The sequence below is a fragment of the Homo sapiens genome, chromosome 17, assembly GCF_000001405.40.
Source record: "Homo sapiens chromosome 17, GRCh38.p14 Primary Assembly".
NCBI classification, from domain to species: Eukaryota; Metazoa; Chordata; class Mammalia; order Primates; family Hominidae; genus Homo; species Homo sapiens.
In genome coordinates this window covers 64,745,573-64,767,745 of record NC_000017.11, presented here as the reverse complement: position 1 = coordinate 64,767,745, position 22,173 = coordinate 64,745,573, and the positions used below count along the sequence as shown (strand labels likewise).

General features: G+C 42.9%; 5 pseudogenes across 2 annotated transcripts in view, besides 1 other annotated feature; 4 read left to right on the top strand and 1 right to left on the bottom strand.

The window, feature by feature from the left end:
- ARHGAP27P1-BPTFP1-KPNA2P3 (ARHGAP27P1-BPTFP1-KPNA2P3 readthrough, transcribed pseudogene) overlaps positions 1–18,084 on the top strand; it is a 32,338-nt pseudogene extending 14,254 nt beyond the window's left edge. Inside the window, exons 4-13 of the transcript NR_026899.1 lie at positions 3,198–3,295; positions 5,036–5,391; positions 5,699–5,830; positions 9,120–9,217; positions 9,367–9,504; positions 13,092–13,325; positions 13,582–13,741; positions 15,790–15,939; positions 17,023–17,152; positions 17,738–18,084. The product of NR_026899.1 is annotated as an ARHGAP27P1-BPTFP1-KPNA2P3 readthrough, transcribed pseudogene (transcript). The remainder of the gene's footprint in view (positions 1–3,197; positions 3,296–5,035; positions 5,392–5,698; positions 5,831–9,119; positions 9,218–9,366; positions 9,505–13,091; positions 13,326–13,581; positions 13,742–15,789; positions 15,940–17,022; positions 17,153–17,737) is intronic.
- On the top strand, positions 5,034–5,832 carry BPTFP1 (bromodomain PHD finger transcription factor pseudogene 1; annotated as a pseudogene).
- Positions 8,435–8,647: a silencer, noted in NCBI's record as "fragment chr17:62755217-62755429 (GRCh37/hg19 assembly coordinates)". NCBI's record gives its function as "represses an EF-1alpha promoter that drives an FKBP-Casp9 reporter gene in an ReSE screen in K562 erythroleukemia cells {active_cell/tissue: K562}" and the evidence as "EXISTENCE:reporter gene assay evidence [ECO:0000049][PMID:32094911]".
- KPNA2P3 (karyopherin subunit alpha 2 pseudogene 3) lies at positions 13,080–18,084 on the top strand (annotated as a pseudogene).
- LOC101929240 (U5 small nuclear ribonucleoprotein 200 kDa helicase-like) lies at positions 16,146–17,344 on the bottom strand (annotated as a pseudogene). Its single transcript, XR_243770.4, has one exon. The product of XR_243770.4 is annotated as a U5 small nuclear ribonucleoprotein 200 kDa helicase-like (transcript).
- MICOS10P2 (MICOS10 pseudogene 2) lies at positions 20,206–20,711 on the top strand (annotated as a pseudogene).

The following is a 22,173-nucleotide window of genomic DNA, read 5'->3' as shown; positions in this document are numbered from 1 at the left end:
GGAGTACCCCACTTGGAGGGGTGGCCCTAGAGTGGAGAAGGGATGGTGGTCTCTGCCAGTGAGCCTGTGGGTGTTGGACATCCGTGATGTCAAAACACCAGCAGGAATTCTCTCTGTCTCCTTGGTGCCCTGGCCTTATGGGTAGAGACTACCTGGCCCACCTGTTTGGCCCCCCTCAGCTCCTGGGCACAAGGATACAAAAGCCACACTGCCTTCTCCCTGGGGTCCCATGATGGGCCAGCCTGCCCCAGGGTTCCCCTGGGAGCCTCCACCTCAGACATAGCCTCTCACCTGTGGCAGCCAGGTCCCACCCACCCACTGCCCCAGCCTCTGCTTGACTCAGGCAGTAGTAGCAGGTCACAGTTGGGAGCAGAGGGGAAACAGGGCGTGTTTAAGTGGCCTTATTCCCAGAATCCTGGCTCCAGAGCTGTGTCTGAAAGGGAGAGGAACTACTTCGTCTGTAATACATCGGGGGCAGGGATTGCTGGAAGAGCAAGTCTGTTTCCAGGTGAGAAATAATGAACAACTTTTTCTTATTTTCTTTTTTGAGACAAGGTCTTGCTCTTTCACCCAGGCTGGAGTGCAGTGGTGCAATCACGGCTCACTGCAGCCTCAACCTCCTGGGCTCAAGCAATCCTCCCACCTCGTCCTTCCAAGTAGCCGAGAGCACAGGCTTATATGGTAGTGACAGTGAGGATGGAGAATAGTAAAAATGTTTGAGGAATTTTTTTTTTAATTTTATTTTTATTATGAAAATGTCCAATTAGGCTGGGCCTGGTGGCTCACCCCTGTAATCCTAGCACTTTGGGAGGCCAAAGCGGGAGGATTGTTTGAACTCAGGAGTTTGAGACCAGCCTGAACAACACAGTGAAACCCTACCTCTATATTAAAAATAAGTAAATAAATTTAAAACTTAAGAAAATGTCCAACATGCAGAAAAGTAAAAATAATTTTTTTATTTTTGAGACAGAATCTTGCTCTGTCACCAGGCTGGAGGGCTGTGGCACAATCTCAGCTCACCGCAGTCTCTACCTTCCAGGTTCAAGTGATTCTCATGTCTCAGCCTCCTGAGTAGCTGGAATTACAGGCACATGCCTGGCTAATTTTTGTATTTTTAGTAGAGATAGGGTTTTACCATGTTGGCCAGGCTGGTCTTGAACTCCTGATCTCAAGAGATCCACCTACCTCTGCCTCCCAAGGTGCTGGGATTACAGGTGTGAGCCACCATGCCCGGCCAAAAAGAATTTTTTTTTTTTTTTTGAGACCAAGTCTTGCTCTGTCACCCAGGCTGGAGTGCAATGGCATGATCTCGTCTTACTGCAACCTCTGCCTCCCGGGCTCAAGTGATACTCCTGCCTCAGCCTCCCGAGTAGCTGGGATTACAGGCATATGCCACCATGCCCCGCTAATTTTTGTATTTTTAGTAGAGGAGGGGTTTTGCCGTGTTGGCCAGGCTGGTCTCGAACTCTTGACCTCAGGTGATCCGCCTGCCTCGGCCTCCCAAAGTGCTGGGATTACAGGCATGAGCCACCACACTGAGCCAAAAATAATATTTTTGAAAAACGAATACAATTACCTATTGCCTAGATTTAACAATACTTGCTCCTTGCTGGCTGCTCTACTAGGAAAAAAAAAAAGAGAAAAGAGAAAAAACAATATTTGCCATGTTTATTTATATTTATTTATTTATTTATTTATTGCTGATGAATTATAAATTCTAGGCATCATATTTCACCCCGAAAACTTCAGCATGCATCTCTGAAAAGTGATGTCTTTCTCCATGAACACCCTCCATTATTATGTCTGACAAAATTAACAATAGTTCCTTAATGTCATCTATGACCTAAGCCATCGTCAGATTTCCACCTTATCCTAAAACATCTCTCTCACAGCTGGTTTGTTTGGTTCAGGATCCCATGCAAGGTCATGCCTTGTATCTGGCTGTCTCTTCAATCTCCCTTGAAGAGCCCCGCCCTTTCCTTCTGCCTGGACATTGACTCATTGCCTGCCTGCAAGGTGTTTGTTTGCTTCCTTGCAGCAGTGTTTTCATGTTCTTCTAACCCTGGTGTTACGTGAGAACTGGTAGGCAGGTCTGCAAGGTTTAGGCTGGTGAGATCAACAGGGCTCAGTGACAGATGAGGCAAAGCCAGCAGGAGGCAAGGATGATTCTACCTTGGGTGACAGAAGTAGATGTCACTCAGATGCTGAGAATGGGGAGGGAGGAGGGAGAGGACAAATTTGATTTGGGGCACACAGCTTTCAACATGTACAAAGGACATCCAGATGGCAGTGGGCTATGTGAGCCTGGAGACTGTGCTGCGAGTTGTTGATCTACAGCCAGTGGGGCTGGGCTCTCCCAAGGCGGTGGAGTGAGAAGACAGGTGAGACACCAAGCATGAGGCCGTGGCGGAGGAGATGGAGCCTGGGGCCCAACTGCTGAGCAGTAGCAGAGAAAAAGAAGGAAAACCAGGAGGCCTGGCCCGAGAAAGCCCAAGAAGGAGAGGATTTTAAAGAGCAAACACTGGACAGAAGTCAGGCCAGAGGAAGATTGTCAGGCCTCTAAGCCGGAGCAAGGTCCTTGTAACCCCTGTGACCTGCCCGTATACATCCAAATGGCCTGCAGGAGCCACAAAGTCTGGAGCAGCCAAAAAAAAAAAAAAAAAAAAACCCACAAAAAGGAGTAAAACAGCCAGCTCCTTGCATTGTCCCTGCCCCAACTCATCAATTGACCTTGTGACAATCTCCTCCTGGACAGTGAGTCTCAGGAGCTCCCCACTGAGCACCTTGTGACCCCTCCCCTGCTATCAATAGATAACCACCTTTAACTTGTACCTTTCCACTGCCTACCCAAGTCCTGTAAAGCTGCCCCTATTCTATCCCCCTTCGCTGTCTCTCTTTTTGGACTCAGCCCATCCGCACCCGGATGTAAATAAACAGCCTTGTTGCTCACACAAAGCCTGTTTGGTGGTCTCTTCACACGGACATGCTTAACAAGGACCAGGTCTGTCATCAAGGAAGTGGTGGAAGGCCTCTGAGCAGTGAGCTGGTTGTCTAAGTGAGGGGACAGAGAAGTTGGCTCGAAAAGGAGGAAGGGAAAAAGGATTTAGTTGTTAAAAGGGGATGCTGGATCCAGGGAACAAACTTTATTTTATTTTATTTTATTTTTTTTTGTGATGGAGTCTCTCTCTTTTGCCCAGACCGGAGAGCAATGGTGTGATCTCCGCACACTGCAACCTCTGCCTCCAGGGTTCAAGTGGTTCTCCTGCCTCAGCCTCCCAAGCAGATGGGACTACAGGTACCCGCCACCACGCCCGGCTAATTTTATATATATAATATATATATATATAATTTTATATATATATTTTATATATATATATAATTATATATATATATTTTATATATATATAATTATATATATATTTTATATATATATATAATTTTATATATATATATTTTATATATATATATAATCTGTAGAAATTTGTAGACCTATTTTTGAATTGTATTTTCTCTATTTCCAAAGCTGTAGTAGGTAACAAGATTAAAAACATTAGGCTTTCTAAGCATAGTTGCATACCCAAATTTCAGTCGAGGCATATAAATGCTATAAATGGCTGATACACTTTCTTACTACATGACCAGTTTTATTCTACATACAATTCTAAAGAATTAAAGCCTTCTTTACACATATGAGTAGGCTATTTTGGGTTTTATGGTTTATTAAAGAATTATCGATGATTCACTGCTCAGTTCTAGCTATGATCACTCCGGGTGAACCTGCAGCTAAAGGACGAGGCTTACCCATTGATAGCAGAACACTGTAGATAGGACAGCATGGCGTCCCAGCTCTGATCGTGAATCAGATCATGGGATCAGAGCTAGGACTCAGTATCTCTGCCCTTCAGCTAGCCATGGTGACAGGACGTGGCCCCAACTGTGTCTCCCAGATTCAAGAATTATTTGCAGTGTAAATATGTACGAATAAATGATGTTCTTAACATCACAGCGATTGCTTAAAAGTAGTGGCTTTCATACTTCTTTTTGACTCTGACCCTCAGTCAAATACACATTTTTTCATAGCAGCCCAGTATACATATTCAAAAGCTTTCTGAAAGACTGTTTTACCTTATTATGTGGGAAGCACTCTGATATTTTCTGTGCTAGCCTATTGCATTACCTTTTTTTTTGAGACGGAGTCTCTGTCTGTTGCCAGGCTAGAGTGCAGTGGTGCGATCTCGGTTCACCACAACCTCCGCCTCCCTCGTTCAAGTGATTCTCCTGCCTTAGCCTCCCGAGTAGCTGGGACTACAGGCACACGCCACCATGCCCAGCTAATTTTTTTTGTATTTTTAGTAGAGATGAGGTCTCACTACCTTGGCCAGGGTGGTCTCAATCTACTGACCTCATGATCTGTCTGCCTTGGCCTCCCAAAGTGCTGGGATTACAGGCATGAGCCACTGTGCCTGGCTGCGTTACATTTTATTTTTTAAAAAGCTGAATAAGACCCACTATTTATTTCATAGTCACTAAAGAGTTGGGATCAACTGTTTGAAAATACTATTTTGAAGTATCCATGAGGTCTTACACTATAGCTGGAATGATAAAAGGACCCAAAAGAGCGTTTTTAGGAATATATTTTGGGGGGGAGAATACCTGTGATGCCCTTCTTTTTCCCTTAGGTATAAACTTGAAAAGCTTGTTATAAACTTGAAAAAATGGTAGGTGAGTAATTTATATGTATGGTTTCATGTGTATATTTGAAATATTAATACATGAAAGCAGTGAATAATAGTATCTGACACGTAATAGGTACTTAATATGTGTTAGTTTTCTTTCTGCAGGCATATCTTGGTTGTTTAATTGTAAACAATTAGCTTTACTTTTAACTTAGCTTTTAGACTTCAAAAGTTCTATCATAAGATTTATCTTAACTTACTTTGAGTGATTAATTTTAATTATTGAAAGACAGTTGATTGGATACAATTTACATCTTTGGCTGACATAAATAATGCAGTCTTTTTATTTTTTTGGTCAGGTACTGGTAGTTAACTCTCAAGGAGAAATTTCACGGTTGAGCACCGAAAAGAAAGTGGTCATGAAAGGAAGTATCAACAATTATCTTAAATTGGGTCAAGAAGGGAAGTATCGCGTCTACCACAATCAATACTCCACTAATTCATTTGCTTTGAATAAGCACCAGCACAGAGAAGACCATGATAAGAGAAGGCATCTTGCACATAAGTTCTGTCTGACTCCAGCAGGAGAGTTCAAATGGAACGGTTCTGTCCATGGGTCCAAAGTTCTTACCATATCTACTCTGAGACTGACTATCACCCAATTAGAAAACAACATCCCTTCATCCTTTCTTCATCCCAACCGGGCATCACATAGGTAAAGGAAACTAAGGTTAATTTATTGCTGTAAATATACTAAATGTTTATAAAATGATTGTTGTAGTTGTGCACTTGAAAACGTCATTACCAATGAGTTGAATGAAGTCAATGTGGTCAGCAGACAGGACGTTAGAGGCATGAGTGTACTTCTAACTTACTGAACTGACACCACTAACTATTTGGAGGATTCCTAGGAGTCAGAATCTTTATTCCTGGAATCAGATGGAGACCAAAGTTACAACTATTATGCTTTTAATTTAGATCAACCTAGTGAAATAATTTCTTTCATTTCTTCTGAAATACAGGGCAAACTGGATCAAGGCAGTTCAGATGTGTAGCAAACTCAGAGAATTTGCATTGGCTTTAGCCATTTTGGAGTGTGCAGTTAAACCAGTTGTGATGCTACCAATATGGCGAGAATCTTTAGGACATACCAGGTAAGTGAATTCTGAGCCTTGTAAATGATGAATATTGGACTCGCTTTTGAAATACTAGCCTATTAATCATGAAAGTTAATGTATTTAAGAGGCCATATTAAAGACTTTACTTTTGGCTCAGTTTCTTCCTATATAAGTTGTAAACATGAATGAATATTATTAGTTCTTTCTTTCTTTCTTTTTTTTTTTTTGAGACGGAGTCTTGCACTGTTGCCCGGGCTGGTGTGCAGTGGCACAATCTCGGCTCACTGCAACCTCTGCCTCCTGGGTTCAAATGATTCTCCTGCCTCAGCCTCCGAAGTAGCTAGGATTACAGGTGCCCACCACTACGCCCGGCTAATTTTTTGTCCGTCAACCCAGGCTGGAATGCAGTAGTGCCATCACAGCTCACTGCAGCCCTGACCTCCCTGGGCTAAGGTTATTCTCTCACCTCTGCCTCCCGAGTAGTTGGGACTACAGACGCATTCCACTATGCCTGGCTAGTTTTTGTATTTTTTGTAGACACGGTGTCTCATTATGTTGCCCAGGCTGTTCTCAAACTCTAGGCTCAAGCGACCTGCCTGCCTCAGCCTACCAAAGTGTTGGGATTATAGTTGTGATACATTTCTGATACGAGAGCAATTAGTACAATGGTTGCTATAACATTTTAGAGAATGGTTTGACAAAACCAAAGTTAAAAATGCAATTTGACTCCTTCTCGATATGGTAGAGAAACTTTTACCCTGTGTACATGAGAAGACATTGTAACAGGGTATTCCTTATAATATTATTTCATAATGGTGAAATTTGGAAACAATTCCTAAGTACTCATAATCAGGCATGTTTAAATTGTGTCATCATTTCATAATGGACTGTTACATAGCAGTGAAAAACACACTAGAGCAACAAGTGTCGAGATTGAATCTCGTAAGTTTACAATAGAAGGAAAACATTTGGAGAGGCTGGGAGGGGCATAAGGGTTGAAAAATTACCTGTTGGGTACAGTGTTTACTCTACGGGTAATGAGTAACTAGAAACCCGGTTCCCCCAGTGCACATAGACCCCTTGAATCTAAAATAAAATAAAAATTAAAAAAAAAAGAAAACAGTTCCATCACTAAAAATACATAAGGATAAATGTATATACTACATACATTTGTGTAGCGTTTAAAAGCATGTGTGATAACACAATGTTACAGTATTGTTTAGGGATACAGACATTTGTAAAATTTTAAAGAAATGCAAGGGCTATATGCTTGAAACATAAGAAATACACTTCTAAATAAATAAGAAGTGCTCAAATGTAAATCATAATGAAAACCAGAAAACATTTTGATCTGGATGTTCATGAAAGTACTACATATATTGAAATTTGTGAGATGCAGTTAAAGACTTCCTAGGAGAAGTTGCTAGCCTTTAATGCTTATGTTAGAAAAGAAAAACTGCAAATTAATTAGCTAGGGGTACATCTCAAGGAGCCAGCCTAAAGAAAGAAAATATTAAAGATGACCAAATGTGATGAAATAGAAAACAAACATACTTTAGATCCCATTATGTTTTACAAGCCTCTGATAAGATTATCAAGGGGGGGAAATAATACAGCACAAATAACCAATATCAAGAATAAAAAAAGAGACATACTAACCAACATTTCTGATTCTCTTTTACTAGAACTTGGAATTTTAAAGCCTTCACAGGGTCTACTAACATAGTATTCAGGTTTCCTACATCTACAATGAAAGGGGTCCACCTAGAAGGAGTGGAGCAAGATGGTGGAATAGAAGGCCCCAACTCATCGTGCCCCACCTTCCATCCCCACAGCCACAGAAAGGGACCCACCGAGCTCCCTTTGGGTGGGGGGAAGGGTTGAGAAGGATGCCACAGTCATCTCAGTCCTTAATAGGTCAGAAGCCACACTCTTAGGCAGGAAAAGGATTTCTGGTTGTTTATCACTGCACCTGTCATTAAGGTGATGGCAGGACCAAATGATTTCATAAGGTTTTTCTTAAATTTTGGGAACCAGATAGTTCCATTTAAACTTTTCTGCCAGAATAGAAAAAGGAGGAAATTTTACAGATTATTGTTTCTGTTAGTGTGAAACTGTTAGAAAACTTGATAAATAGAAATAGACAAATTAAAAATTATGGCCCTGTCTCCTTTATTAATATTTATTATTAATAATTAATAGCAAATAGGTGTGTCTATAAGAAATCTCAAAATATTGGTATGCAGATCTATTCAGGAGTAAATTTAAAGAATAAGAAACCATGGCTGAATTGGCTTCACCTTAGACACCAATCTCCAATACTAGGAGATTACTAATACCATACTATTTTAGGAAGTCAAAGAAAGGCTGGATGTGGTGGCTCATGCCTGTAATCCCAGCACTTTGGGAGGCCAAGGCGAGTGGATCACTTGAGCCCAGGAGTTTAAGACCAGCTTGGCCAACATGGTGAAACCCCATCTCTACTAAAAATACAAAAATTAGTGGGGCACAGTGGTACATGCCTGTAGTCCTAGCTGCTAGGAGGCTGAGGCAGGAGAATCGCTTGAACCCAGGAGGCAGAGGTTGCAATGAGCTGAGATCGCACCACTGCACTCTAGCCTGGGCAACAGCGCAAGACACTCTCAAAAAGAAAAAAGTTAAAGAAAGGAAACCTTTTGATCATCTCATTAGATGCCAAGAAGGTATTTTTGTCTAAGTTCATTATTATTTATTGGGTTTTTTTAATTTTGAATTTTTTTTGGCTGCATGTGGTGGCTCACGCCTATAATCCCAGCACTTTGGGAGGCCGAGGTGGGTGGATCACCTGAGGTCAGGAGTTTGAGACCGACCTGGCCAACATGGCGCAACCCCATCTCTACTAAAAATACAAAACTTAGCCAGGTATGGTGGCACACGCCTGTAGTCCCAGCTACTTGGGAGGCTGAGGGAGGAGAATCACTTGAATCTGGGATGCAGAAGTTGCAGTGAGCTGAGATTGCACCACTGCTCTCCAGCCTGGGCGATAGAGTGAGACTCCATCTCAAAACAAAACAAAACAAAAATGACTACTAGGAAGTTTCAATTTATATAGCTTGCATTCTATTTCTGATGGACAGCCCTGCTCTAGGAAGTCTCAGCCCTTCAGATGGAAGGGGGACAGTTATCCGTTGGCTAAAACTATTCCATAGTGCTGAAAACATGATGATATCCCTCTAGTGCACAGGTGTGGATTCAGTAGATGCTTGATAATTCAGTTCTTATTTGGTACTATTATTGACAAAGGAAAACGATAAAGGAAATATTTTTCTCTTCCCCCATCTTTTAGCTTTCTCCCTTTGTCTCATAACCATGTCCACCAATGAGAATGCTAATACACAAGCTGCCCATCTTCACAGATCTAAGAACAAGGGAAAGGACAGTACAGTGAGTACCTTCTGTTGCTTTCTTATGGTGTTATTTAAATGGGAAGACATTTGGAAAGGGATGAAAACTTAGGGATCTTTTTAAAAATGTCCTCACTTAGCAACAAAAACTGATGTGGTAGGTGAAACAGCATGTTATCTTTTCTCAAGGAAACGAGGCGTCACAGAATAGAGGTCAATGTGGAGCTGAGGAAAGCTAAGAAGGATGACCAGATGCTGAAGAGGAGAAATGTAAGCTCATTTCCTGATGATGCTACTTCTCCGCTGCAGGAAAACTGCAACAACCAGGTAAAAAAATATATTTTAGATTATGAGTTACATGAAATCCAGAAAATCAGTAGGGACTTTTCTTAGAAATTCAAGTAAACTTAACATTTCTAGTCTTATGGTTTTAACTATCTGTGAAGATCTTTTTCTCTGTTTGCAATTACTAATTATCTTCTTTCCTGCCTTCCATAATCCACTGAAGCTGATTTAGGATCTTCCTTTAACTCTGACCTTCCTTCAGACTTCCCTGCATTTCTAGCTACTAGCTGGGTACCTTGACCTGACCAGTGTGTCCAGAGCCAACCAGTTTCTGGTTTATTTCTTTTTGCTTTTTCCCACATGGAGTCTTGCTCTGTCGCCCAGGCTGGAGTGTAGTGGTACAATCTCAGCTCACTGCAACCTTCGCCTCCTAGTTTCAAGCAATTCTCCTGCCTCAGCCTCCCGAGTAGCTGGGATTACAGGTACAGACCACCACGCTTGGTTAATTTTTGTATTTTTAGTAGAGCCAGGGTTTCGCCATGTTGGCCAGGCTGGTCTTGTACTCCTGACCTTGTTATCCACCCACCTGGGCCTCCCAAAGTGCTGGGATTACAGGCATGAGCCACCACACCCAGCCCATTTGGTTTATTTCTGTCTTTTTTGGTATTCTGTGTTTTTTTGTATTTGTCACCAGCTTTGTTCAGGTCTTTCCTCCTGAAATATTTACAGTAGCCTCCTAATTTATCGTTTCCTTCTTTCTGTGCCAAATGCTATTTTTCTGAATTTTTTCCTAAAGTACTGCTTTAGACGTGTTTTTTCTCTCCTTAAAATCCATACTCCAAATTGCATGAACCTGTGAGGCAGAGGTTGCAGTGAGCCAAGACCTTGCCATTACACTCTAGCCTGCGCAGCAAGAGTGAAACTCTGTCTCAAGAAAAAAAATAAAAATAAAAAATCCATACTCCGCTGGGCATGATGGTTCACGCCTATAATTCCAGCACTTTGGGAAGCTGAAATAGGAGGATCACTGGAGGCCAGGAGTTTGAGCCCAGACTAGGCAACATAGCAAGACCTTGTCTCTACAAAAAATAAAAAGTTAGCTGGGCATGGTGGCACAGGCCTTTAGTCCTAGGTATTCAGGAGGCTGAGGCAGAAGGATCACTTGAGCCCAGGATTTTGAGGCTGCAGTGAGCTATGATTGTACCACTGCACTCCATGCTGGATGACAGAGTAAGACCCTGTCTCTAAAAATAAAAATCCATACTCTGGCCAGGCACGGTGGCTTGCGCCTGTAATCCCAGCACTTTGGGAGGCTGAGGTGGGTGGATAATCTGAGGTCAGGAGTTTGAGACCAGCCTGGCCAACATGGTGAAACCTGTCTCTACTAAACATAAAAAAAAATTAGCTCGGGGTGGTGGTGGGTGCCTGTAATCCCAGCTACTTGGGAAGCTGAGGCAGGAGAATCGCTTGAACCTGGGAGGCAGAGGTTGCAGTGAGCCAAGATCGCACCATCGCACCATTGCACTCCAGCCTGGGCAACAAGTGCAAAACTCTGTCTAAAAAATAATAATATAATCCATACTCCATGAAGGCCTTCCACAAAGTAGACCTATCTTAGATTTTCAAATTTATCTTTCATCTTCCAAAGATAACTGGGCACTTTCCTACTTCTTTTTCTCACAATATGCTTCCTTTTTTTTTTTGAGACAAAGTCTCGTGCTGTTGCCAAGGCTGGAGTGCAATGGCGCCATCTTGGCTCACTGTAACCTCTGCCTCCTGGATTCAAGTGATACTCGTGCCTCAACCTCCCGAATAGCTGGGATTACAGGTGCCGCCACCACGCCCAACTAATTTTTGTTTTTTTTTAGTAGAGACAGGGTTTCACCACGTTGGCCAGTCTGGTTTCAAACTCCTGACGTCAGGTAATCTGCCCGCCTCGGCCTCCCAAAGTGCTGCAATTACAGGTGTGAGCCACTGCACCCAGCCACGTTATGCTTCCTTTAGCCCTTTAGCACTCCACATTTATCTTTTTTTTTTTTCCAATTGACTACTACGTGTGTTCTATTTCTAGGGTACTAATACTCAAAGCTCATCTTCTTCTTATAGCACTCCTTAGCCTCGTAGGAAAGACACTCCTTTCTCAGGATTCTCTAGCGCCCTGATTCTGCACCCAAAATTGGGAGTAAATGCTATGTAACCCATCTATTTACCACTTGTTTTATGCTGTTTGTCTACTTGTCACATTTTCTGTTAGGTGTCAAGCTCCTGGAGAGACAGGGATACTGGCTTTTTGAATTATGGGTAGCATTGGCTCTCAAACCTCCTTTCTACTTTGATTCACAACATAAAACATTTTTTTGTTGTTGGGGGGGCAGGGCACAGGTCTTGCTCTTTTGCCCAGGCTGGAGTGCAGTGGTGCGATCTAGGCTCACTGCAGCCTCTGCCTCCTGGATTCAAGCGATTCTCCTGCCACATCCTCCCGAGTAGCTGGGATTACAGGGGCCCGCCACCACGTCTGGCTAATTTTTGCATTTTTAGTAGAGATGGGGTTTCACCATGTTTCTCAGTCTGGTCTCGAACGTCTGACCTCAGGTGATCCACCGCCTCGGCCTCCCAAAGTGCTGGGATTACAGGCGTGAGCCACTGCACCTGGCCGCACATAACCCATTTATATTTGCAACAACACTCAACCATGGAAATATATAGATTATAAAATTAGATATCAAAATTCTCAGAATGTTGCTTATAACTTCATGTCTTTCTCCCTCAAAGTATATCTGAATGCAAGTTATTGAGATTAATGTAGGAATAATCTTCAGTCTGCTCTGATTCTTTTTTTTTTGAGAGAAGGTCTTGCATGGTGATAGGCACACACCACCATGCCTGGATTTTTGTTTTGTTTTGTTTTAATTTTTTGTAGAAGGGGAGGTCTCATTATGTTGCTCAGACTGGTCTCGAACTCCTGAGCTCAACCCATCCTCCCTCCTGAGCCTCCCAAAGTGCTAGGATTACAGGTGTGAGCCACTGTGCCTGGCCTTCTAGTTCATTTTTTAAATTATTCAAAGCTGCCTTTTTTAGCAACGAAACACTTGGATACTCCATAACTTGAGACTCCAGTGAGTCCTGACATCGAGTTTGGAAACTGTTCTACATATAAAATAATGAATGTTTAACAGGCAAAATTAAATGTAGGTCTAAATTTTTAGTAGCTCATGCCTGTAATCCCAGCACTTTGGGAGGCCGAGGCGGGTGGATCAGCTGAGGTAAGGAGTTCGAGACCAGCCTGGCCAACATGTGAAAACCCATCTCTACTAAAAATACAAAGAAATTAGCCGGACATGGTGGCACACGCTTTAATCCCAGCTACTCGGGAAGCCGAGGCAGGAGAATTGCTTGAACCTGGGAGGCGGAGGTTGCAGTGACCCAAGATCACGCCATTGCACTCCAGCCTGGGTGACAAGAGCAAGACTCCTGTCTCAAAAAAAAAAGCATAATCAGTTGATACCAATATTGAAATATTGCCTATTTCAGGTCATGTTGGGCCTCTTGTTAAAACTTTTGGAGTACAGAATTTCTGAAGTGCTGAGAAAAATATAAGGTAACCAGCATCAACATTTTTTCCTTTTCAGACTCCTGCCCTAAGAGCCATAGGGAATATCGTCACTGGTACAGATGAACAGACTCAGGTTGTGATTGATGCAGGAGCACTCGCCGTCTTTCCCAGCCTGCTCACCAACCCCAAAACTAACATTCAGAAGGAAGCTACGTGGACAATGTCAAACATCACAGCCAGCCGCCAGGACCAGATACAGCAAGTTGTGAATCATGGATTAGTCCCATTCCTTGTCAGCGATCTCTCTAAGGTAACGAAGTCTTAGGATTTAATCAAGTCATTTTTAGTATTTATAGAAAGCTGTGCTTGATAAGCTTCTTCATGTGCAAGAATCTTGGGTTCTACTAGGAGTCCTTTGCTGAACAATACCCAGTAACCCCTTTACTTAAGGTTGTATCAATAGAACCTTGGTACTTTCAGTCACCGTTTTTGTGAAAAAGTACTCTTGGAATCTTATTTGTGCAACTGTTCTGAAATAAAACCATTTCCTTATGTTTAATTGGCAGATTTTGAGACACAAAAGGAAGCTGTATGGGCCGTGGAACAGTTGAACAGATTGTGTACCTTGTTCACTGTGGCATAATAGAACCGTTGATGAACCTCTTACCTGCAAAAGATACCAAGATTATTCTGGTTATCCTGGATGCCATTTCAAATATCTTTCAGGTAAGTCCTATCAAGGTGGCTTTGTTTGAATTTGGACTTGATAATAATTGGTTTACTATTTAGACTTGGGGGAGGGCAGCTGTAAGTTTACTCACTAGTAAGCCACAGAATCAGAAAGCCTGTTTATGTGGCCACCCCTTTGATTAAAAATGTGGCAGGCATTATAAAAGATATAAAAGAGATGACAAGTGGATGGTGCGAACTGAATCGGAGTCAGGCGCTTATGTGGACTCATCACACCTGTTTACTTGGTTGATTTAATTTCCCAATTTCATACCGAATTTTGGTGACATTAAATTTGAATGACTTGGCCGGGCACAGTGGCTCATGCCTGTAATCCTAGCACTTTGGGAGGCTGAGGTGAGTGGACCACCTGAGGTCAGGAGTTCGAGACCAGCCTGGCCAACATGGTGAAACCCTATCTCTACTAAAAATACAAAAATTAGCCAGGCCTGGTGGCAGACGCCTATAATCCCAGCTACTTGGGAGGCTGAGGCAGGAGAATCGCTTGAACTCTGGGTGGGGGGCAGAGGTTGCAGTGAGCCAAGATTGCGTCACTTCACTCCAGCCTGGGCGAAAGAGTGAAACTCTGTCTCAAAAAAAAATTTTTTTTGAATGACTTAATTATATTTTTCTTCTGGTTCCACCCCTAACTGATCCAAGCATACCAGCATATGGCACTTTGCCGTAGTGATTGGTGGTAGGTAAGCCCTTCTCATCAACTTTGGATTCTAGAAATTTTTACATATAGAAGTTGAGCCTACAGGCTGGGCATGTTGGCTCACGCCTGTAATCCCAGCACTTTGAGGAGGCCGAGGCGGGTGGATCATGAGGTCAGGAGTTCAAGACCAGCCTGGCCAACATAATGAGACCCCCGTCTCTACTAAAAATTAAAAAAATTAGCTGGGCGTGGTGGCAGGCGCCTGTAATTCCAGCTACTCAGGAGGCTGAGGCAGGAGAATTGCTTGAACCTGGGAGGCGGAGGTTGCAGTGAGCCAAGATCACGCCATTGCACTCCAGCCTGGGTGACAAGAGTGAAACTGTCTCAAAAAAAAAAAAAAAATTGAGCCTACAATAATGGATGCTGGTGTATCTGTCACTGTGTATAAATAATTTGTCAGTATGTGGCCAGTATTTCTTCTTTCCTTCATCTAATCCCCTAAGTTATTTTGAAGCAAATCTGTTATTTCATCTATAGATATTTATGTATCTCTTAAAAGTTGAAAATTTAAAGAAAAACTAACCTACATACCATTCCATGTGCCCCGTAAATCCTTAATACCAACACACATTCTGTTCGGAGACATTTAGTTTAGCACTCCATAGGCCATCTTTGCCCTTAGACACCTTGACTACACCTTGTGATGATATAGGATGCTTTACGAAACAATACGCCCCTGTTCCCATAGCAGACCAGTTGAACTGGAGTGTAGTGTTGTTTTAAAAGTTGCCCACGTTGGCCAGGCGCGGTGGCTCATGCCTGTAATCCCAGCACTTTGGGAGGCTGAGGCAGGCGGATCACGAGGTCAGGAGATCGAGACCATCCTGGCTAACACGGTGAAACCCCGTCTCTACTAAAAATACAAAAAATTAGCCGGGCGTGGTGGCACGTGCCTATAGATCCAGCTACTTGGGAGGCTGAGGCAGGAGAATGGCATGAACCCGGGAGGCGGAGCTTGCAGTGAGCCGACTTCACGCCATTGCACTCCAGCCTGGGCAACAGAGCGAGACTCCATCTCAAAAAAAAAAGAAAACAGAAAAAAAGAAAAAAAAGTGGCCCATGTGATTTTGATACATACAAAAGGTTGAGAGCTACTGATTGTAAGATCTCTGGCTCCAGTCGAAGTACTGCTAAGAGTAGGTACAGATCCAATCACACTGAGTTTCAACAAAATATAGAATGGACATAAAACTATGATAGGCTTGATGAAGGAACTGTTAAGGTGCTTATTTCTGCCTGACATATCAATATTCAAATTTTCGATGTTTTCTTCATTAAAACATTCAGAGTATACGCCAGTAAACTTGGATTTTTTTTTTTTTTTTAGGCTGCTGAGAAACTAGGTGAAACTGAGAAACTTAGTATAATGATTGAAGAATGTGGAGGCGTAGACAAAATTGAAGCTCTACAAAACCATGAAAATGAGTCTGTATATAAGGCTTCATTAAGCTTAACTGAGAAGTATTTCTCTGTAGAGGTGAGTAATGGATGGTAATATTAATAACAACTTGGAAAAATGTAAAGCCAAGGCCATGAGCCCTTTTTTCCCTCATACTTTTAAAAATGAGCCTCATATCTTTGTTAAATATAGTAAAATATCAGTGTGCATAGGACGTAATGTACTTATTGCCCCTCTGATGTTTGGCTTGATGGTAATAAAATCTATTTATTTATTTATTTAGCTTTGGTTTCTACAAATTATTTTATTAGAATGTCAGACTCAAAAGGAACTACCAGTAACATGCCTGAACATGCTATATATGATTTATGCTTGACCCGTGACACCTGCTGTCACTGGATCCAGAGTGTGAACAAGGGAAAAGGAAGTGGATGTGGGCAGGGACAGCACCAGCCCTGGCTGGCCAGACCTCAGGCCCACAGACGTGGTCCCCATAACCACCAGGATCCCTACAATATACACATTCCTAATTCAGGCTCAACTCTCCTTTACCCAAGAGTAAATGCCTCAGGACTCAATCTGAATCACTGTCCGTCTCGGCTTCTTTCACATCCATGCTGAATTTGTACTCCTGGTCACATCCCATGTAAGCATCACTCATGAAGTATAGAGTGTAGTTGTGGGCACCAGTGGCTGGAGCCACAAAGTCCAACTTCACCTTGGCCTTCTGCTGCAGGATCAGCCTCTTGATGGAGATGAGGCTATTGGACTTGGTGTCTCCAATCACCACCCACCAGCCCTCTTCACGTTTCTGCGGGAAGAGAGGCGCAATGACAGGGCCTGTGACTTCCTCCTCTCGCTCCAGCTGCACCAGCACCACCGCTGGCCCGCCACTGCGGATGCTGTCCTTATCCACCACCTCCTAAGATAGTTCGATATTAGGGTAGCAGTTACAAAAGCGAGCCACATCTGTAATCTGGCTGTCAGTCAGCTGAAGAATTGTGTTCCGTTCTTCATCCTCCATCTCCATGATGTCGAAAACACTCTTCACTCCCTTGTCTGTGCAACGTTTGATATGCTCAGAGATGAAGTGTGGCAGCTGCTTCAGGTATGAGTCCTTGGACCACATGGCTTGGGTGACCATCTGGGCCAATTCCATAGCTGCCAGAGCAGAGCTGAGCCACCCATTGCTGGAGAGGACATCCACGCAGGCCTGGACGAGCCGGACTGCCTTACTAAGGATTTCCTCCGTATCTGACTGCAACTCAGCACTCAGCTGCATGCGGGACAGGTGAGCCTGCAGGAGCAGGTTGGTCTTGATGTGCGGATCATTGAACTTAGGGTTATTCAGCTTGTCAGGGACCTTCTGAGCCAACTGCCTCAGGAAGTTTTCTTCATGGTGCTGGATGGGGATATTCTCGTACCCTGCTGCATTGGAGATGATCTCAATAAGCCCTCGCACCTTGGTCTTGGCGTTGAGGTGAGATTTTAAAAGTCACCAGATTAGTTTCAAATGAACAGCCTTGAGAATCTTAGAATATCTTGAGGGTAAGTTAACGGGTGTCATTGTAGGAGGTGATAGAGAAGTAGGCCAAACCCACCACCATGCTCTGGGCCTAATACAGTCTTTTCCTATTGAAAAGTGACGGTTGGGGAAGAAAAAAAATCTCGGCCTGTTTCTGTTACTGTAGTAGCTAGCACTTATGAATTGGCAAAGTTTCAGAGACCCTCCCTCCCCTATGTCAGATACTACAATACCATACAGGATTAAAGGTGTAATATGCAGATCAAGACCTAGAGATTAAATACAGACTTCAGGTAGGCTGCTGCTTGGAATACTTATTATTTTTATACTTATTTTTTAATATATTTCCAGGAAGAGGAAGATCAAAACGTTGTGCCAGAAACTACCTCTGAAGGCTACACTTTCCAAGTTCAGGATGGGGCTCCTGGGACCTTTAACTTTTAGATCATGTAGCTGAGGCATAAATTTGTTGTGTACTATGTTTGGTATTTTGTCTTATTGTTTCTCTACTAAGAACTCTTTCTTAAATGTGGTTTGTTATTGTAGCACTTTTTACACTGAAACTATACTTGAACAGTTCCAACTGTACATACTGTATGAAGCTTGTCCTCTGACTAGGTTTCTAATTTCTATGTGGAATTTCCTATCTTGCAGCATCCTGTAAATAAACATTCAAGTCCACCCTTTTCTTGACTTCACCATGCCTATGTGTTGCTTTCTAATTTGGGGTCTTTAATGTTGCTAGTGAAAGGTAACCCGTCCAAACTGATGGGATTAACCAGAGGTAGTCCTGGCTGCAGTTTTTACAGAAGAATGAATAAAATTTTCCAGAAACCCTCAGCCAGTGTCTCCTTAAGTCTCCTTGGCCAGGGAGATGCGCTAAACACTGTAAATTTAATCATAAATCTCTCCTGGAGCTACAAGTGGAATTCATTCCTCCCAAACTTCAAGGCTGAATGGGATTCCAAGGTAAAATCATGGCTGCACGTGGGCCTCACCTGGGAATGTACCCAGTTCTGTTTCGTTGATGAGGGGCATGAGGGTCCACCTTGTGTCTTTTTTAAAAATGTAATTCCCAAGGGCTCTTGTACAATATAGATTGATCACCACTATTCTTTTTGAGATGGAGTCTCGCTCTGTCACCCAGGCTGGAGTGCAGTGGCACGATCTCAGCTCACTGCAACCTCTGCCTCCCAGGTTTAAGCGATTCTCTGCCTCAGCCTCCCAAGTAGCTGGGATTACAGGCGCCTGCCACCACGCCCGACTCATTTTTGTATTTTTAGTAGAGACGGGGTTTCACCATCTTGGCCAGATCCCAGCACTTTGGGAGGCCGAGGCAGGCAGATCACTCGAGGTCAGGAGTTTGAGACCAGCCTGGCCAACATGGTGAAACCCCGTCTCTACTTAAAAAAAAACACAAAAAACAAAAATTAGCCGGATGCGCTAGTGGGCGCCTGTAAGCTACTTGGGAGGCTGAGGCAGAAGAATAACTTGAACCTGGGCGGCGGAGGTTGCAGTGAACTGAGATTGCGCCATTTCACTCCAGCCTGGGCGACAGAGCAAGACTGTCTCAAACACACACACACACAAACAACAACAAAAAATAAAATGGAACACTAAACCCCTGTGTTACACGTGGTCCTCGTAAGCATAGAGCATTTTGTTTGGAACCGTGGATCACTTTCTCAGCTTTTCCTGTACAAAGGCTCCCATAAAGGGGAGGGGGAAGAGACATTAACAGTACAGACTGCCCTTCCTTTCCTACTTACTTGCTCCTCTCTTCCTCTCCCCAACTCGAGTCCCTTCTTGGATACTGAATCCAAAAGTCTTCAGCTTGAGAAAAGGTGATGGGGAAGTAAACCTGGACATCCTAGATTTTTGCTTTAACATGGGAGAGTTTTAATGGCTTCAGAAAGACTAGTGTAAAAGACAGGATAGAAAGCGTAAGGTCTGGATTTGTTAAAGGAAGCATGACTCAATAGTGAGGTAATGAACAGGAGATAGCTGGTTTCCAAAAAAGTTTTTTTTTTCATATCTTAGATAAAATGCTTAACATGCTAGTTTCCTTGGAGTGGTTAGATCCGTAGAGGCATTGGGAGATTTTTATTTAATTTATCTGTGGGTAACTTAATATCTTTGAGAATGACAGAATGACTTTATAACCAGCTTGATTTGTAAAAGTCACGATAAAAACATTGTGTAGCCACCAACTTCTCCCTCTTGCAGTGTTAATGTCTAAACTGCTAGTGATTTATTAATGTACCAACATTTTTAGTTTCCTAGCAGTTTGAAAGCTTTTTTTTTTTTTTTTTTTTTTTTTGGAGATGGAGTCTCGCTCTTGTTGCCCAGGCTGGATGGAGTTCAGTGGCGCGATCTTGGCTCACCACAACCTCTGCCTCCCGGGCTCAAGAGATTCTCCTGCCTCAGCCTCCCGAGTAGCTAGGACTACAGGCTCCCGCCACCACACTTGGCTAATTTTTATTTTTATTTTTTTGAGACGGAATCTCACTCTGTCTCCCAGGCTGGAGTGCAGTGGCGCAATCTCGGCTCACTGCAACCTCCACCTCCCGGCTTAAGCAATTCTCCTGCCTCAGCCTCCCGAATAACGGGGATTACAAGTGCCCACCACCACACCAGACTAATTTTTGTATTTTTATTAGAGATGGGGTTTAGCCATGTTGGCCAGGCTGATCTCGAACTCCTGACCTCAAGTGATCTACCCAGCTTGGCCTCCCAAAGTGCTGGGATTACAGGTGTGAGCCACTGTGCCCGGCCATCTAGCAGTTTGAAATGTCATTTAAGACTTTGGTAGTGTTAAAGAGTGCAGGGGCTGGCGGAGAGGAGAGCTAGAGGCATGGGTGGGGAACATGTTGGAATTGGAGCTCAGCAGGAAGTGGGACCAGTGCCTGGCAGATGCGGTGGTGAAGACAGGTACTGGTTTTGGATTAGGAATTGTTTTCTCACTTCTTTAAAAGAAGAATGTGGCCATTAGCCTTCAGTTCTGGCATGGGATTAGGAATGGCTTACTCCAACTGTCAGCATGATTTCCAGGCTCCATATCTTCTACATGGAAAATATGTCAAAGAGCAGGAGCAGTGACTTCACCTGAGAACGTCCCAGTGGGAGGACAAGAGAAATCATGTTTATTCCTCAGGAATACTGAAGTGTCCTGCAGTAAGCTGCCATTCTTCTGTAACAATGTTATCAGTAATGCTTTAAACTCCAGCACCTGGTTATGTATTTGAAACCAAGTCTGTTTCTTGTTTTGTATTTTTTCTCTGGAAATTGTAGGGAGGTGGTCTTAAATAAATTAAACAAAAATAGGGGAAAAAAAGTCTTTGATAGGCTGGGCACGGTGGCTCACGCTTGTAATCCCAGCACTTTGGGAGGCTGAGGCAGGCAGATCATCTGAGGTCAGGAGTTCAAGACCAGCCTGCCCAATATGGCAAAACCCTGTCTCTACTAAAAATACAAAAAATTAACTGGGCGTGGTGGCAGGAGTTGGATGTTGCACTGAGCCGAGATTGTGCCACTGCACTTCAGCCTGGGTGACAAGAGCAAGACTCCGTCTCAAAAAAACAAAAAAAACAACAACAAAAAAACACTTTGATAAATTATATATCTTTACCTATAACTTTCATTTTTGTATTTGTTTTTGTTGTAAGCAAGGGAGGAAAGGTAATATTCCTAATATCATTTGGCAATTATCAAAGTAAAAACTGCTAAGACTTATTTTGCTTGTTGAAATAATCTTAAAAGGGTAACTTTAAAAGATTGGACATCAGTGTTAAACATTTAATAAAGTATTGATTCTTTCATTGCTATATTGCATTTTTAGGACAAAGGAAATCAACATTCTGTTTCCTAATGTTGATTTTTTCCCCTCTCATCCTCAATCTTTCTGTCACTGCATCATCACTGAAGAAAAAACTCGGGATAATTTTTTCATTACTGTAAATCCTCATTGTTAAGTGAGATTTTTATTTCAGCATTTGGCCTCTTTAATTGCATAAAAGCAGTAAGAGCAAAGTCAGTTTTGTTCATAGGAGCCATTGGAAACCTTGTCAGATACAGGACCCAACTTCAGAAGGCCATTAAGGCCTGGCTGCCCCTTACCCCTCTCCACCCTTGCTGGAGCTTGCCAAAACCCGGTGGACTGATTTTGGAAAGCCCTTGAAACATGTCATTTCACTAATGGTGATTTCTTTTGGGATTGGGATGTTGACCTAATTTGTGATGAACAAAACCCGGCCAAATCATGCAGCCTGCCTCTAACTCCCCATGGGAAAGTGTTAGAGAAAAGTGTTTTAGCAACATCACCCATTTAAGTTTCATAACCCCAGCTAATAAAGATGATAAGAAACACCCAAGCTATCAACTAGGGTTTTCTGAGGGCAGAAGTGCAATTTAATTTTGAGCACTTGCATGTTAAACGACATGTTGGCATAGTTTGAAAGCTAATTCTAGTGTCTGTGAACGCTCAGTTCTTCCTAAATATTTGGGACAGTTTCATAACACTGTGTGGGAGGTGTATGCATCGAACCCTCTTAAACTGATCAGTTCGTGCGTTCCAGGCTTTTCACAATCGTAAATGTCTTTTCCCATCCTAGTTGTGGGAGGTAGCATGGTGCAGTGAAGTGGACTGGTATTTAAGAGCCAGATCTGTCTGAATTCAAATCCTGCCTCTTTATTATGTCAGTGAAAGACCTTTTGATGGGGCAGCTCAGTGCTGGCATAAGAAAAGTATAGATACTAATTCCTACATAATAGAAATATCCTAGATGAGT